Source organism: Homo sapiens, chromosome 8 (assembly GCF_000001405.40).
Source record: "Homo sapiens chromosome 8, GRCh38.p14 Primary Assembly".
Lineage (NCBI taxonomy): Eukaryota > Metazoa > Chordata > Mammalia > Primates > Hominidae > Homo > Homo sapiens.
The window spans coordinates 17,693,819-17,708,394 of NC_000008.11; the positions used below are offsets into that span (position 1 = coordinate 17,693,819).

The 14,576-nt window shown below is 38.5% G+C and overlaps 1 protein-coding gene across 12 annotated transcripts in view; it reads right to left on the minus strand.

Moving 5' to 3' along the window:
* Positions 1–14,576, minus strand: part of MTUS1 (microtubule associated scaffold protein 1) — a 157,720-nt gene that overhangs the window by 50,017 nt on the left and 93,127 nt on the right. Inside the window, exon 1 of one of the 12 annotated variants that reach the window (NM_020749.5) lies at positions 3,439–3,852. The exons of the other annotated variants lie outside the window; for them this stretch is intronic. Coding sequence (NP_065800.1) covers positions 3,439–3,559 — 121 coding nt within the window. The 5' untranslated portion in view covers positions 3,560–3,852. Of the gene's footprint in view, positions 1–3,438; positions 3,853–14,576 lie in introns of those variants that run through there. 12 annotated transcript variants of the gene reach the window in all.

The following is a 14,576-nucleotide window of genomic DNA, read 5'->3' on the forward strand; positions in this document are numbered from 1 at the left end:
TAGTCCCAGTCATACTTTCAGCACCTACCATTATGCCTGGTACACAGTACTCATCTAACGGGTACTTCTTTATGAAACGAATGAATTAATCTGTAATGTGAAAGACAGTCTAGAAGCAAGGGAAAGGCTGGAGGCACAGACCAAATACTAAGCTCTTCAGAAAGCCCAGTCAACATCTTAGGCTGGATTATACAAAACTGTTCCTATTTGGCTACTTTTGACTTATTATACAAAAGTGTTCATATTTGGCCACTTTTTACCTATTAATTTTTTGTGTGTGGTTTTTTAAATAGAGACAGGGTCTCATTAACTCTCCAGGGCTGGTCTCAAACTCCTAGCCTTAAGTGATTCTCTTCCCTTGGCCTCCCAAAGTACTGGGATTATAGGTGTGAGCCAGTGGCACCAGCCAGGAAGAGCAGTTTCAATGCTTCAACATGATAATGCCTGGACTAGGGTAATGGCAGGTGGTAAAAACAAATCAAGATTTCAAATGATGGAGTCTTAGAGTTTTCAACCAATTGATTGTGGATAAATCAGGACAAGTAATGATTCAAAGGTGAGGTTTGGCCAGACGTGGTAGCTCATGTCTGTAATCCCAGCACTTTGGGAGGCTGAGGCAGGCGAATTGCCTGAGGTCAGGAGTTCCAGACCAGTATGGCCAACATGGTGAAACCCCATCTCTATTAAAAATACAAAGAAATTAGCCGGGTATGGTGGTGGGCACCTGTAATCCCAGCTACTCGGGAGGCTGAGGCAGCAGAATTGCTTGAACCTGGGAGGCGGAGGTTGCAGTGGGCCCAGACAGCACCAGTGCACTCCAGCCTAGGCAACAGAGCGAGACTCCATCTAAAACAAAGCAACAAAAAAACAACAAAAACCAAAGGTGGGGTTTGATGACCAGACACATGGTGTCATGAAAAGAAACAGATAATTCATGAGTATTAACTGAATTTAGGAGGTAAAAAAATAAGGAGACAAATCATTTAGATAAGATGAATTTCCAAGCAGAGTAATACACTGAGGGTTTTCAAATCTTCAGCCAGAAATTCACAGATTTGGAGGCTAAGGGGAACCTGGAAGTCATCTCTTGTGGTTCCCTTATTTTGTAGCCGTGTGAGGTTAGGTGCACAGGGCTATTCACTTGGTCACCAGCAGAATCAAGGCTACAATCCAGGCCTCTTGGGATCCAGGTCAACACCACTGCACTGAGGCAACCAACACCACTTCCTTCACTAAGGATACCAACCCAAGTTACTGCTGACAGTCCATTCAGATAAGAGTCACCATGACGGCATGAATTACCCACTTGACGGACGATTTCTCGGACGTTAAAATGACATAACATGGATAAGCCCATCAAAGACTGATATTGGGAGTAAGCAGAATTATATTCCTTACATGATTTTAAAAAGCCTCCAACACACAAAACGCTTCCTCCATCCCTGCTATTCCTTGGATCTAACAAAATTACAGCAAAATTTGCAGCTGGAAAATATGTACGCCAAAAATTCTAAATAGAAGTCCCAGGTTTTAGTCCTATCTCTGGCACTTACTGTGTGCCTCTGGGCAAGCGAATTCACTTCTCTGGGCCTCAGACTTCCTGGTATAAGACAGATTAGATCACCTCTATGTGAACTCTAGCTCAAAAAATTATGACTGCAAATAAACAGAAAATAGTTTTACGTAAGTTTAGAAAATAAAATGTGTCCAATACATCACTATCAACTAAACCCTGGTAATAGAAGCCTTGTGTCGTTTGCTTACGCTGTCTTGGAAAGCTATCTGCTTCACAACAACACTACAGACAACTTAGAATGTCTACTACTAGAGCACTGGTTAAGTAAATCATGACTTACCCAATAATGGAATGTTACAGAACTATTTTTTTTAATGAGGTAGATAAACATGTGATCACATGCAAATCTAAAACACATTAACTTTAAAAAGGTATAGAATATATAGTACGCTTTTATTTCTGTATAACAAAAAAGAATAAAAAAGACCTGCATAGATTTACATGTGACTGGAAACGTGCAAGAACACTATGCAAGCAGCTGAGAGCGGCTGTCTCCACGGAGAGCAGACAGGGACTCTGGGTAAGAGAGAGGCTTGCCTAGGACTGCACAACCTTCCATACTGTTTGATTTTTAACTTGGAGCGTGGATTACAGTATTTTTAAAAGAACTCTTTAAAATTAAAAGCTATTTGGAGCTACTTTAGATCAGACAAATTATTGCAAATATAGGGCACCCTTTGTTATTTTTCCCCCCTATTAATTTGTTCAGTTGGAAGGGCTGCAGCGGCCCTGAGCTGGGAGAGGAGGGCCACTGCTGACCTCCTCCTCGCTGCCTCCCCCCATTTACCGTCAGCTCAGACTGAAAGGGAGAGGCTGGCAAAATCAAATGACAGGTCAAGGGGAGTTATGAAACACGAGAGAGAGGTGCTGGAAAAAATGAGAATTCTCCCACAGAGAAGGGAGATGCCTCTGGGAAAACTAAAAATAGTCAGCTGAAAACAAATCACCAGGGACAGAGATGAGCCACGTGGAAAATAAGAAACACGAGGGGTCACGTGCACATGAAGCAGAAACAAAAATCTATTTACATCCTCATCAAACATTCCTGTGACACCTAACGCTATTCAGCCCAAAACAAATATAAAAACACCCCAGCTAACATATTTTACAGAATAAAACTGATTTAATTTACTGTAGCTGTAAAATCATCTAGGACAAAAGTAGCAACATAGGCCAACCCAATGCCCTAAAAGTGAGCAGACAGGTCACCACGTGCCTAAAATATATACTAAATTTATTTTCATCTTAGGCACCGAAAATAATAAGCAGATACAAACATAAACCTCAGGGGAAGTATTTTGAGACTGCACACACTTTTATTATGAAGATTGGAAAACTAGATTTGTGATTCACTTACTACTTCCCCATAACCATTAGGATGTTTTCTGTCAGAAGTGTTTAGTATACAGAAATCTTTTAGCATATTAAAATTAACTGTCAAATCTGACTGAGAAACTATCCAATGAAAAACGATGGGAACCTTCTCATCTACACAGGCGAACAGGAAATATTCTTCTAAATTTACCTGTGTCCTATTTCCCAAACACTGGAACTAAAATATAATTTAACAGGTGCTGATTTTCACACATTTGGCTGGTGATGGAGAAAAGAGCTAGGGAACACCAAGGCAACAATTCTGCCTTCCATCAACACAAACAACACAATCTGCTGCCAAAAGTAAAAGTACTATGCACTTGTGCTGAAGCAACAGAAAACAATTTTTAAATTAAGCCTCATCTCTCATTAGAGAGAGCTTTTTTCCTCCAATTATCTGTCTCCTTGGAAAAACCTCTGATAAACATCTGCAAATTAATGAAGACATCCCCCGTGCAACACTAAACAGAGATCTATGCGAGACAGACCTGTGTGGAAAACAACAGTGCTTCTCCTAAACCCTGAAGGAAGTCGAAGGTTTCGAAGCAATCCTTTGGCCGTCAGTCGTATGTGAATGGTGGATAAGGAGAATTTGGGAGACAACAACATGTCTTCGGAGCAGGTGGCGAGATTTCACAGAAGAGGCAATTTCCATGGACTGTCACATACTGTCTTTTTAAACTCAGTACTCTTCAAGGCCAAGAAATACAGTCAGAGGAAAGATGCCTACACAGCAAATGTCATTCCACCAGAGAGGCATAGAAGAAAAAAATCCCCCAGGGCTGGCCAAGTGTTTCTGGCTTCCGTTTTCACTTTCAGATGTTGCCAAAATGATGCTCTTCCTCTGAATACAATCTCCCTCCTGCAGGTCTAGAAGCTGCCTCTGAACCACATCACACTGTGCATGCTTGTGGAGTTGTTATGGTTTTCATCCGAGATGGTAAAGGGGAGGAGAAAGTGGGTGGTCTCAGGAGCTTTACAGAACAACCAATAATGTCACAGATCCTGTAACCACTTGAAAGATCGCTAGGGGAAATTAACTACTTCAAGTGCCTAATGTTTCTTTCATAATTAGAAAAAAATTAGGATTTCCTGAAAGTAAACTGTGTCCTGATTTTAACATTTTTCACTCCTTATATTCACAATGATAACATGAGCATTTTTTCTCTAGATATTTTACATGTAAACTACATTTAAACCTGGTATTTTGGAAAAGTTTTTTTTTTAAAGACTTCAGGCAATAAATGTTCTCAACTACAATATTTAAGAAAATTTCTATTCTAATATATTAATGACAGATTGTCAAAAGGTTAAAGTTCAACTTTAATTCCCACATGCTGAGGACCTCACAAATAATCAACAGTAAAAGATTAATACGGTTTCTCTATCAGATGTAATATCAGAGTTCCAGAAGAATAGTCCATCAGATAGGCATATTCTAAAGACTACATTTATTGCATGAGTAATTGCATTTATAGAACATCATGTGGTCTCTTATAGTGGTCTTTCAAGACTAGGAGTGTGAGGAGGGCACAGTTATGAATATCTTTTGCCAGTTATCTACTAATTTTTATTTCAGTAGAGTGGCTTGTAAAAGTATGTTAAAACATGATAGCAAAACCAAAAGAACTTGAAAAACAAAGATATGGTTATAAGAATTAACAACAACAATATGCCCACTTAAGCTAATTCCATTAAACCACGAATAGCCTGAGCTCTTAACATTTTTAAAAATGTTATAAACAAAACAATGTTTTAAAAATGTCCTATGCCTGTTTCCAAGATTTCCTAGAAAATAAGACTCAGAAATAAATGCAGAATTGTTACCATAAATAACACTATTAAGTGCTATTAAAACTAGCAGGAAGCAGTTCTTTTAGAAATTCTATAGAGTAGGGTATGAAGCAGGGAAGAGAGAGGGAGGAAGAGAAAATTTAAATAAGTTCTCTTCCCTCAAGCCCCCTCCCTCTTCACTCAAGCCCCCAACTTGCCATTTTAGAGGTTGTCAGCAAGAGAGACAGACCCAATAACCTGTCCAGGGTTCCTGTGAGAAAGATACACCTAGTTCATACACTGACGAAAAACCTGCTACATACATTGCACCACAGCAACTGAAGCTAAATGATCAAGGAATTAAAATCAAGGCCAGCTGCTTCTAGGTGTTGCCTTTTACTTCATCCCAGTTTATTATTAAAAAACCTGAACACCTTTTCCTTCCAGATTCTACATACTAAAAATATACCAGAACCTTTTCCTCTACCTCCCAAAACCTTGTAAAAACCAAGAAACCAATCAGCATTAAAAACAAACAGAAGAACAGAGTCAAATTTTGCCATGATTAAAAACAGACATGCCACCACTCCATATAGTAGGAGGTGGTTTTTCTTTCTTTTGGTTGTGTTTGTTGTTTCTTCAGTAACAGCAAATTCTAAATTATCCTTTTTTGTTTGTTTTTGTTTGTTTTTTGAGATGGAGTTTCACTCTTGTTGCCCAGGCTGGAGTGTAATGGCGCAGTCTCTGCTCACTGCAATCTCTGCCTCCCGGGTTCAAGTGATTCTCCTGCCTCAGCCTCCGTAGATGGGATTACAGGTGCCCGCCACCATGCCTGGCTAATTTTTGTATTTTTAGTAGAGATGAGTTTTCACCATGTTGGCCAGGCTCGTCTCGAACTCCTGACCTCAGGTGATCCACACACCTCGGCCTCCCAAGTGCTGGGATTACAGGGGTGAGCCACCACGCCCAGCCTTAAATTATCCTTGTTAAAAGGGAAGTTCTTTAGACTCCCTAAAAGAAGAAATTACCATCTAATCATCGATTAATCAGATTCATTAACATTTTTACTTGAATTACATTAAGCTATAACCACACATATTGAAAATAAACATTGTTAATGATATCTCTTAACAGCAGAGCAAGAAGCTGCAGGAATAAACTAAATTCAGTTCTTTCCCAAACATAGTCTGCCTCCTGGTGGCCGTGCAGCACAAGTGCACCAAAGCAAGGGAGCTGCCTTGGCAGTCCATAAACAAATGGCCATCGCTTACAATCTACTGCTCCAAGCACTCTCTTACACACTTTACGTTTGCTCATTTAAATAACTGGATAAGCAATTACTTTCAGGTCACAACTATTTTTATACTATATATGCCTCTGGGGGGAGCCAAGATAAAAAATTGGTTCCAAAAAATTCTTTGATTATTTGATCATCTGTTACCAGTTAGGAACTCCATATTTTCTGAAATTGAACGAATGTGAGAAGTACCTAAAAAAAGCATCTTTGTTATTTTTAAAAGTCTTAATTTAAGAGGAAAAGATAGGCATCACCAAGGACAGTAGAGGAAAAAATAAGGAAATTTTAGTGCCTAAAGTACAACAGTTTGTAGTTGTAAAAGTTAGCTATGAGTCTTTATGGGCCGGGCGCGGTGGTGAGATTACATGCCTGTAATCTCAGCACTTTGGGAGGCCAAGGCAGGTGGGATCACCTGAGGTCAGAAGTTCAAGACCAGCCTGGCCAACATGGTGAAACCCCGTCTCTACTAAAAACACAAAAAATTAGCTGGGCATGGTGACAGGGGCCTGTAATCCCAGCTACTCAGGAAGCTGAGGCAGGAGAACCGCTTGAATCTGGGAGATGGAGGTTGCAATCAGCAGAGATTGTGCCATTGCACTCCAGCCTGGGCAATAAGAGCAAAACTCCTCAAAAAAAAAAAAAAGATGAGTCTTTATGAAGCAGAGCCTGTGTTAGGATGTCAGTGGAAAACAAAAACATGATTTAAAATTTTATGCAATGTAGGATCTCAACATTAAACAAAAACGATTAAGTATATTGGAGCAAACATGCCAGAATGTCACCAATGCTCTGGGAGGTAGAAGAGGGAGGATTTCTATTTTTTCTTTATTATATGTTTTTGTATTTTCCTAATTTTTTTTTTCAAAAATCATGCAGCCAGAAAAAAATTAAAAAGTTTAAGTGTTAGAATAATTTTATAGAAAGCCTACAAAATGAGCCGAGTTTTCATAATGACACAAAGAAAAATAAACGATGTGTAAAGTCTATACTAAGGCTTAAATAACAAAAGAGGATGATACAGAATGTTTCATAAGTCAGTATGTTGTAATATCACAGTATATTCAAACAAACAGAAATTCCACTGGTCTGCATAGAAATGTGTTTTTTTAAATCAGTGATTTAGAAAACAATGATGTCATGATTCTAGACAAGAATCTAGCATAATCTGTATGGGGTGCTTAGATGCTACAAAATGCCTTCAATTTATCTGTTATTGTTTGTTGTTGTTAATGATCATAAAGAATGAGGAAGAAGATTAAAATTTAAACCAAGTGACTTGTGTGGAGATTCAAGCATCTCTATCCAACCAATCTTCCTTAGCCTAATATGGAATATTAATCTTTATATTTATCTCCTTACTTTCCCTAACACAGCATTAATTGCAACATTTTCTTCATTTTACTCCTCACAGTCTTTAATGTAGTAAGTTCAATTCTCTATTCCAGTTGTAGAAACTTCAACTTAAGGCCCAATTTTTCCACACTATCCTCTTCCTCAGTACGAAGATAAATTGTAATTATCAAAAAATTAACACAAAGCAATTAGAAAAACAATCAACTTCCACCCACCTGTAAGATGATAAGCTCTCAAAGAACAGTGACATTGCCTTTTATTTTGCAATAAGCAAAATAAGAGTTTAAATTAAAAGCAGTAATGCTTTTAATTCATGTACAATGTTTGTTTTTAAAAAACAAAACCTCATATGTTCATCGTAGAATTTTTTTTTTGAGACGGAACCTCGGTCTGTCGCCAAGGCTGGAGTGCAGTGGCGTGATCTCGGCTCACTGCAAGCTCCACCTCTCGGGTTCAAGTGATTCTCCTGCCTCAGCCTCCTGAGTAGCTGGGACTACAGGCGCCCGCCACCACGCCTGACTAATTTTTTTTGTATTTTTAGTAGAGACAGGGTTTCACCGTGTTAGCCAGGATGGTCTCAATCTCCTGACCTTGTGATCCACCTGCTTTGGCCTCCCAAAGTGCTGGGATTACAAGCGTGAGCCACCGCACCCGGCCAGAATTTTCTTTTCAATTTAAATTACTTACACATCAGACTGCTCTCCAATTTGTTTTTAAACTTAACATAAGCTTAATAAACTTATTAAACTTAAAAATTTCACACTTATCTTTCCATGGGATTAAATAAGCATTTATATTGTTATTTTAATGGCTTCAAAAATGTCTTTAAAATGTCAACGAACTTAATTCCTGTAAGGTATATAGGTTGTTTCCAATTTTCCCCCATTGTAAACAATTCTGAAAAGCAGTCAATAAGTAAATAAATTACTTTCCTAGGACCAATTCTGAAAAACAGAATTCCCGGGTGGAAGGTGTTTGCTCTCTGCTACAGCTGCTGTAATTTACCAAGGAGCTGTACATATGAGTGCTGTTTCTTATTCTTCGCCAGTACCAGGTGCTAACATTAAGAAATAAGCAAGAACTGAGAGCACATTATTTTAACTCATATTTGGTAAACATTTTTCATATATTCCTTAGTCCTTCATATATTTCTTTTCTGTCCATCCACTTATTTTTCCCTTTCTTTTTGTTTAGTTTTTTTAATTGTGGCAAGAACACTTAATGAGATCTACCTTCTCAACAAAATTTTAAAAGAACAATATAATATTGTTAACTGTAGGCACAATGCTGTAACAAACATCTCGAAAACCTTTTCGCCCTTGCATAACAAACCTTGTACCATTGAACATCAAGTTCCCATTCCCTGGCAACCACCACTCTACTCTGTTTCTGACTTTGACTATGTTAGATGCCTCCTATAAGTGGAATCATACAGTATTTGCCCCATGACTGGTTTATTTCACTTAGCATAGTGTCCTCCAGCTTTATCTGTATCACAGCATATGGCAGGACTTTCTTCTTTTTAAAGGCTGCATAATACTCCAGTGCACATATATGCCATATTTGCTTTATCCTATGGACACATTTAGGTTGTTCCCACATCCTGGCTATCATAATGTGGCAATGACCATTGTTGCAGGGAGTCAGGGACCCCGAATGGAGGGACCGGCTGGAGCCACGGCAGAGGAAACATAAATTGTGACGATTTCATGGACATTTATCACTTCTCTAAAAATACTCTTATAATTTCTTACGCCTGTCCTACTTTAATCTCTTAATCCTGTTATCTTTGTAAGCTGAGGATGTACGTCACCTCAGGACCCTGTGATGATTGCATTAACTGAACAATCTGATTGCAAAATGTTTATTTGAACAATATGAAATCAGTGCACCTTGAAAATGAACACAATAACAGTGATTTTAGGGAACAAGGGAAGACAACCATAAGGTCTGACTGCCTGCGCGGTCGGGCAGAATACAGCCATATTTTTCTTCTTGCAGAGAGCCTATAAATGGACGTGCGAGTAGGAGAGATATCGTTAAATTCTTTTCCTAGCAAGGAATATAATATTAAGACCCTAGGAAAAGAATTGCATTCCTGGGGGTAGGTCTATAAACGGCCGCTCTGGGAGTGTCTGTCCTATGCGGTGGAGATAGCTTGGCCGGGTGCGGTGGCTCACGCCTGTGATCGCAGCACTTTGGGAGGCTGTGGCGGGCAGATCACGAGGTCAGGAGATCGAGACCATCCTGGTTAACATGGTGAAACCCCGTCTCTACTAGAAATGTAAAAACTTTGCCTAGCGTGGTGGTGCGCACCTGTAGTCCCAGTTAGTAGTCCCAGGCAGGAGAATGGCGTGAACCTGGGAGGCAGAGCTTGCAGTGAGCCGAGATCGCGCCACTGCACCGCAGCCTGGGTGACAGAGCCAGACTCTGTCTCAAAAAAAAAAAAAAAAGGACTGAGAGAGATACGCCCTGGTCTCCTAGTCTCCTGCAGTACCCTCAGGCTTACTAGGATTGGGAAACACCAACCCTGGTAAATTTGAGGTCAGACCGGTTCTCTGCTCTCAAATCCTGTTTTCTGTAAAGATATTTATCAAGACAATACGTGCACTGCTGAACATAGACCCTTATCAGGAGTTTCTGATTTTGCTCTGGTCCTGTTTCCTCAGAAGCATGTAATCTTTGCTCTGCCTTTTTCCCTTTGAGGCATGTGATCTTTGTGACGTACTCCCTGTTCATACACCCTCTCCCCTTTTCAAATCCCTAATAAAATCTTGCTGGTTTCGCGGCTTAGGTGGACATCACGGACCTACCAATATGATGTCACCCCTGGAGGCCCAGCTGTAAAATTCCTCTCTTTGTACTCTTTCTCTTTATTTCTCAGACCGGCCAACACTTACAGGAAACAAAAATAACCTACATTGAAATATTGGGGGCGACAGACCATGGGAATGCAAGTATCTCTTCAACATCCTGATTTCAATTATTTTGGTAAATAACGCCTTATCAGACGTATGGTTTGCAAATGTTTTCTCCTATCTCATAGGCTGCCTTTTCATGCTATTAAATGACTGCTTTGCTCTGCAGATTTTTAATCTGATGTACTCCAACCTGTCTATTTTTGCTTTTGTTACCTGGGCTTTTGGTGTCATACCAAGAAAAATGACATGAAGTTTTGCCCCATGTTTTGTTTGAGGTGTTTTATAGTTTCAGATCTTATATTTAAGTCTTTAATCCATCTCGAGTTGATTTTTGTGTACTGTGTGAGATAAGGGTCCAATTTCATTATTTTGCTTGTGGATGTCCAGTTTTCCCAGTACTATCTACAAAAAGACTATCCTTTCCCTATTGTGTATTCTTGGCACACTTGCTGAAGATTAGCTAACCGTATATGCACGGATTTATTTCTAGACTATTTTATTCCATCGGTCTATGTTTCTATATTTGTGCCAGTACCATACTCTTTTAATTACTGTGTGTTGTAATATACTTTAAAATCAGGAACTGTGATGCCTCCAGCTTTGTTCTTTGTCAAGATTGTTTTGGCTATTTGCAGTCCTCTGTCATTCTATATGACTTTTGGGATTGTTTTTTCTATTTCTTTAAAAAAATGACACTGGGATTTTGATAGGGATTGCACTGAATCTGTAGATCTCTTTGGGTGGTATGTCCATTTAGCTTCTATTATAGAGTTGTCTTTATCTTGCTGATTTGACAGAGCTCTACACAGAGTATGTGCTAATATAACCTCAGTTTGTTCTTTGCTTATAAATACTGTTTCTAATGATTTTTATTCTTTTTATTTTTTTTGAGACGGAGTCTTGCTCTGTCACCCAGGCTGGAGTGCGGTGGTGCAATCTCAGCTCACTGCAACCTCTGCCTCCTGGGTTCAACGATTCTTCTGCCTCAGCCTCATGAGTGCTGGGACTACAAGTGTGCACAACCACGTGCAGCTAATTTTTTTGTATTTTTGGTAGAGATGGGGTCTCAGTACGTTGCCCAAGCTGGTCTTGAACTCCTGGCCTCAAGCAATCCACCTGTCTTGGCCCCCCAAAGTGTTGGGATTACAGGCGTGAGCCACCATGCACAGCCTGTTTCTAAGGTTTTTTAAAGCTTTTGTTGTCCTAATTATTAATCGTTTCTATTATACTAGTGTTCCTGGAAAGATCTTTTCTACTTAAGTCTATATTCTTAGTGTTTTAATTACTTTGTGTGTTTAAAACTAATTTATCTGAAATACTTTGTATATATGTGAAAAAGATCTAGCTCCTGCTAAAAAGGTAGTCACTGTCTCAAGAAGATTTACTAAATGATCCACTCCTCACAACCCCCAACACCAATTTGAAACAAAAATGTATCCCATATGAAAAGAGCATCTGTGTTTTAAGTATAGGGGGAAAGTTATGTTAATCATAAAACAACAGTGAAAAAACAGCCTTCTCTCTACTCTCACCAGAAGAAACCCTGGCAGCCTCGGCATCACCTCATCAGCAGGTTTGCAACTTGCAACCACTTCCCAGCACTTGGCAAAAGAAGGCAAGAAAGCCGCCCTGTTCTCCTGTGATGTCTTTACTAAGTAACTGCGGAAGGACCAGTGCATTTTCTACCTTCCAAGGCAGACACTCTGGCACCTGAGAGTGATGATCTTGTGTAAACCAATCAGGGTACTGGATAAATACAGCTCTGATGCCTCTGGTATGCCAGTGGCTTTAGTGTATGGTAGAACCAAGGTAATAATAGTATTCTGTGGTATGTGTGACATCTTCCTTATCAGCAGTAAGCCAAGATTTTTTTTAGAGTCAATATCAACTACAATCTTGCAGCGTCATAACGTTTAAATAAATTACAACAGTTAGACCCCAAGAGGTTGGTTCTTGACTTTAAGCAGTCTTTCCTGCTTGCTTTAGAGATTTAAAATAATTCAACTTCCTGGAAAAGAACCCTAAAAATAAGCCCCTAGAATTATAAAAACAATGTAAAAGATCGCCATCATTACCGTTCCTAGCAGCTGACTTAACTATTATTTGAGAACCTTTTATAAAACAATTCTATGATGTCATATTATTGCCTTTCTGGGAATTATTTCCCCAATATTCCCATGTCTCCAAACGAGAAATTTGAGACTTGGAGAGGCTTAGCAACTAGCCCAAGGTCAGGACACAAATAGAAAGCAGCAGGACGAAGGTTTAAACCAACATCCCGTGCCTTAAAAGTTCGTTCTCCTCCTGCTTTTCTACATTGTCTTATGAGATAATGTAATTTCTTTAATTGATAAAGGTCAAGCTAAAACAATGATGTAACATTTTAAACTATTATGTTAGTCAAAAAAATTTAAAAATAATATCCAATGTTGACCCAAGGTATGATGAAGCCAGGTGTCTTTTATGTCAACCACGGTATAAAATGATATGAAGCTTTTGGAAAACAATTTGGCTATTTGAGTGAAGTGACTGTAAATGGGTACATATTGTGATTTCCTGATACTACTTTTAATAATCTATCACAAGAAATTGAAAGTTGAAAGTGCTAATTGTATAGATGTTCATCATAGAATCATTTATGAATGTGATACAGAAGCACCCTAAATATTCAAAAGTAGTTAAATGTTACTGTATCTGCTAAATGTAAAAGTGATTACTATATGTTAAATGACAAAGCAGGATATACACTTATCTAAATTTCATTTAAAACGACAAATTTTAAAAAGCTGAAGGGTGATTTCTAAACTACATGCTAAACTTTTTGAAGTTTGGCAAACTGCTATAATTAAAAGTGATTATTTTACTAGAACTAAGGAATATGAAGTTGGTCAACTCAACTGTAATCTCCACCACTACTTACAGCTTTAAAATAAAAATATCTCAAAGCCATAGTACAACGATTAAAAATTTACACTCAGAGGAACATGTTTATGTGTGGAGGCAATGTCTTCTGTATCAGCTAAAATATGACTCATTTCCAGCAGAATATGAAAAAAGTCAAGGTGATTTTCAGTCACAGAATATCACAGTAGGGAGAAATCTAGAAATCCACCCTTTCAGTTACATAGAAAACTATTATCAAAGAGGTTCAATGATCCACCCAAAGTCACTGGCTTTTCAGCATCATTTTTCAGCATCAAAGTCGTCTTTCCAAAGCAAACACACTTTGTTGTGGTCCTCTGTCCACACAGTAACTTTTCCTCACTAGGCTCCTCATAATACCAGGTTAGTCTTAAGTCATGATAATAACTAACCATCGAGAAGAACCTGGGAAAGTCATGCTTATGGTTTCGGGAAAATACAGAGGCCTACCACACAATCTAGATTAAGCTGCAATGTTGACCCCTTAGAATACATTCTATATATACAGAGTCATCTATAGATTCAATGTAACAGAAATTATTAGAATTGGAATTATTAGATTACATTCCTAAAACCTCACCTGACTTCATTACAGAGATTGACAAGCTGATCCTAAAATTCATACAGAAAATCAAGGGACCCAGAATAGCCATAACTATCTTGAAAAAGAAAGACGTTGAATGACTCACATCCTGATTTCAAAACTTACTAATCAAGACAGTGTAGCACTGGCAAAGGTAACATATAAATGCAAAGAACACAATTTAGAAATCAGAAATAAACCCTCACATTCTTAACCAATTATTTTTAACAAAGGTGCCAAGGCATTTAAATGGGGGAAATACATGTCTTCAACACCTGGATGTCCATGTGCAAAAAAGAATTAGACCTTCTATCTCATACCATATAAAAATGTAACTCAAAATGAATCAGAAACCTAACTATAACAGCTAGAATAGCAAAAAAAACTTAAATGAAAACACAGGCTTAAATCTTCACAACCTTGGATTAGGCAACTGTTTCTGAGATACAATACCAAAAGCAGAAGCAACAAAAGAAAAAAAGTTGATAAAGTGGACCTTGTCAAAATTTAAAACGTTTATGTTTCCAAGGACATTATCAAGAAAGTGAAAACACACCCAAGAATTGGGAGAAAATATTTGCAAATGATAACTCTGACAAGGGTCTAATATCAGACTATACAAGAACTCCTACAATTCAACAATAAAAATGACCCAGTTTAAAACTGGCAAATGATTTGAATAGACACTTCTCCAAAGAAGATATACAAATGGCCAGTAAGCACACGAAATGACACTCAATGTCACTGGCTGTCAGAATGCAAATTGAAACAACAATG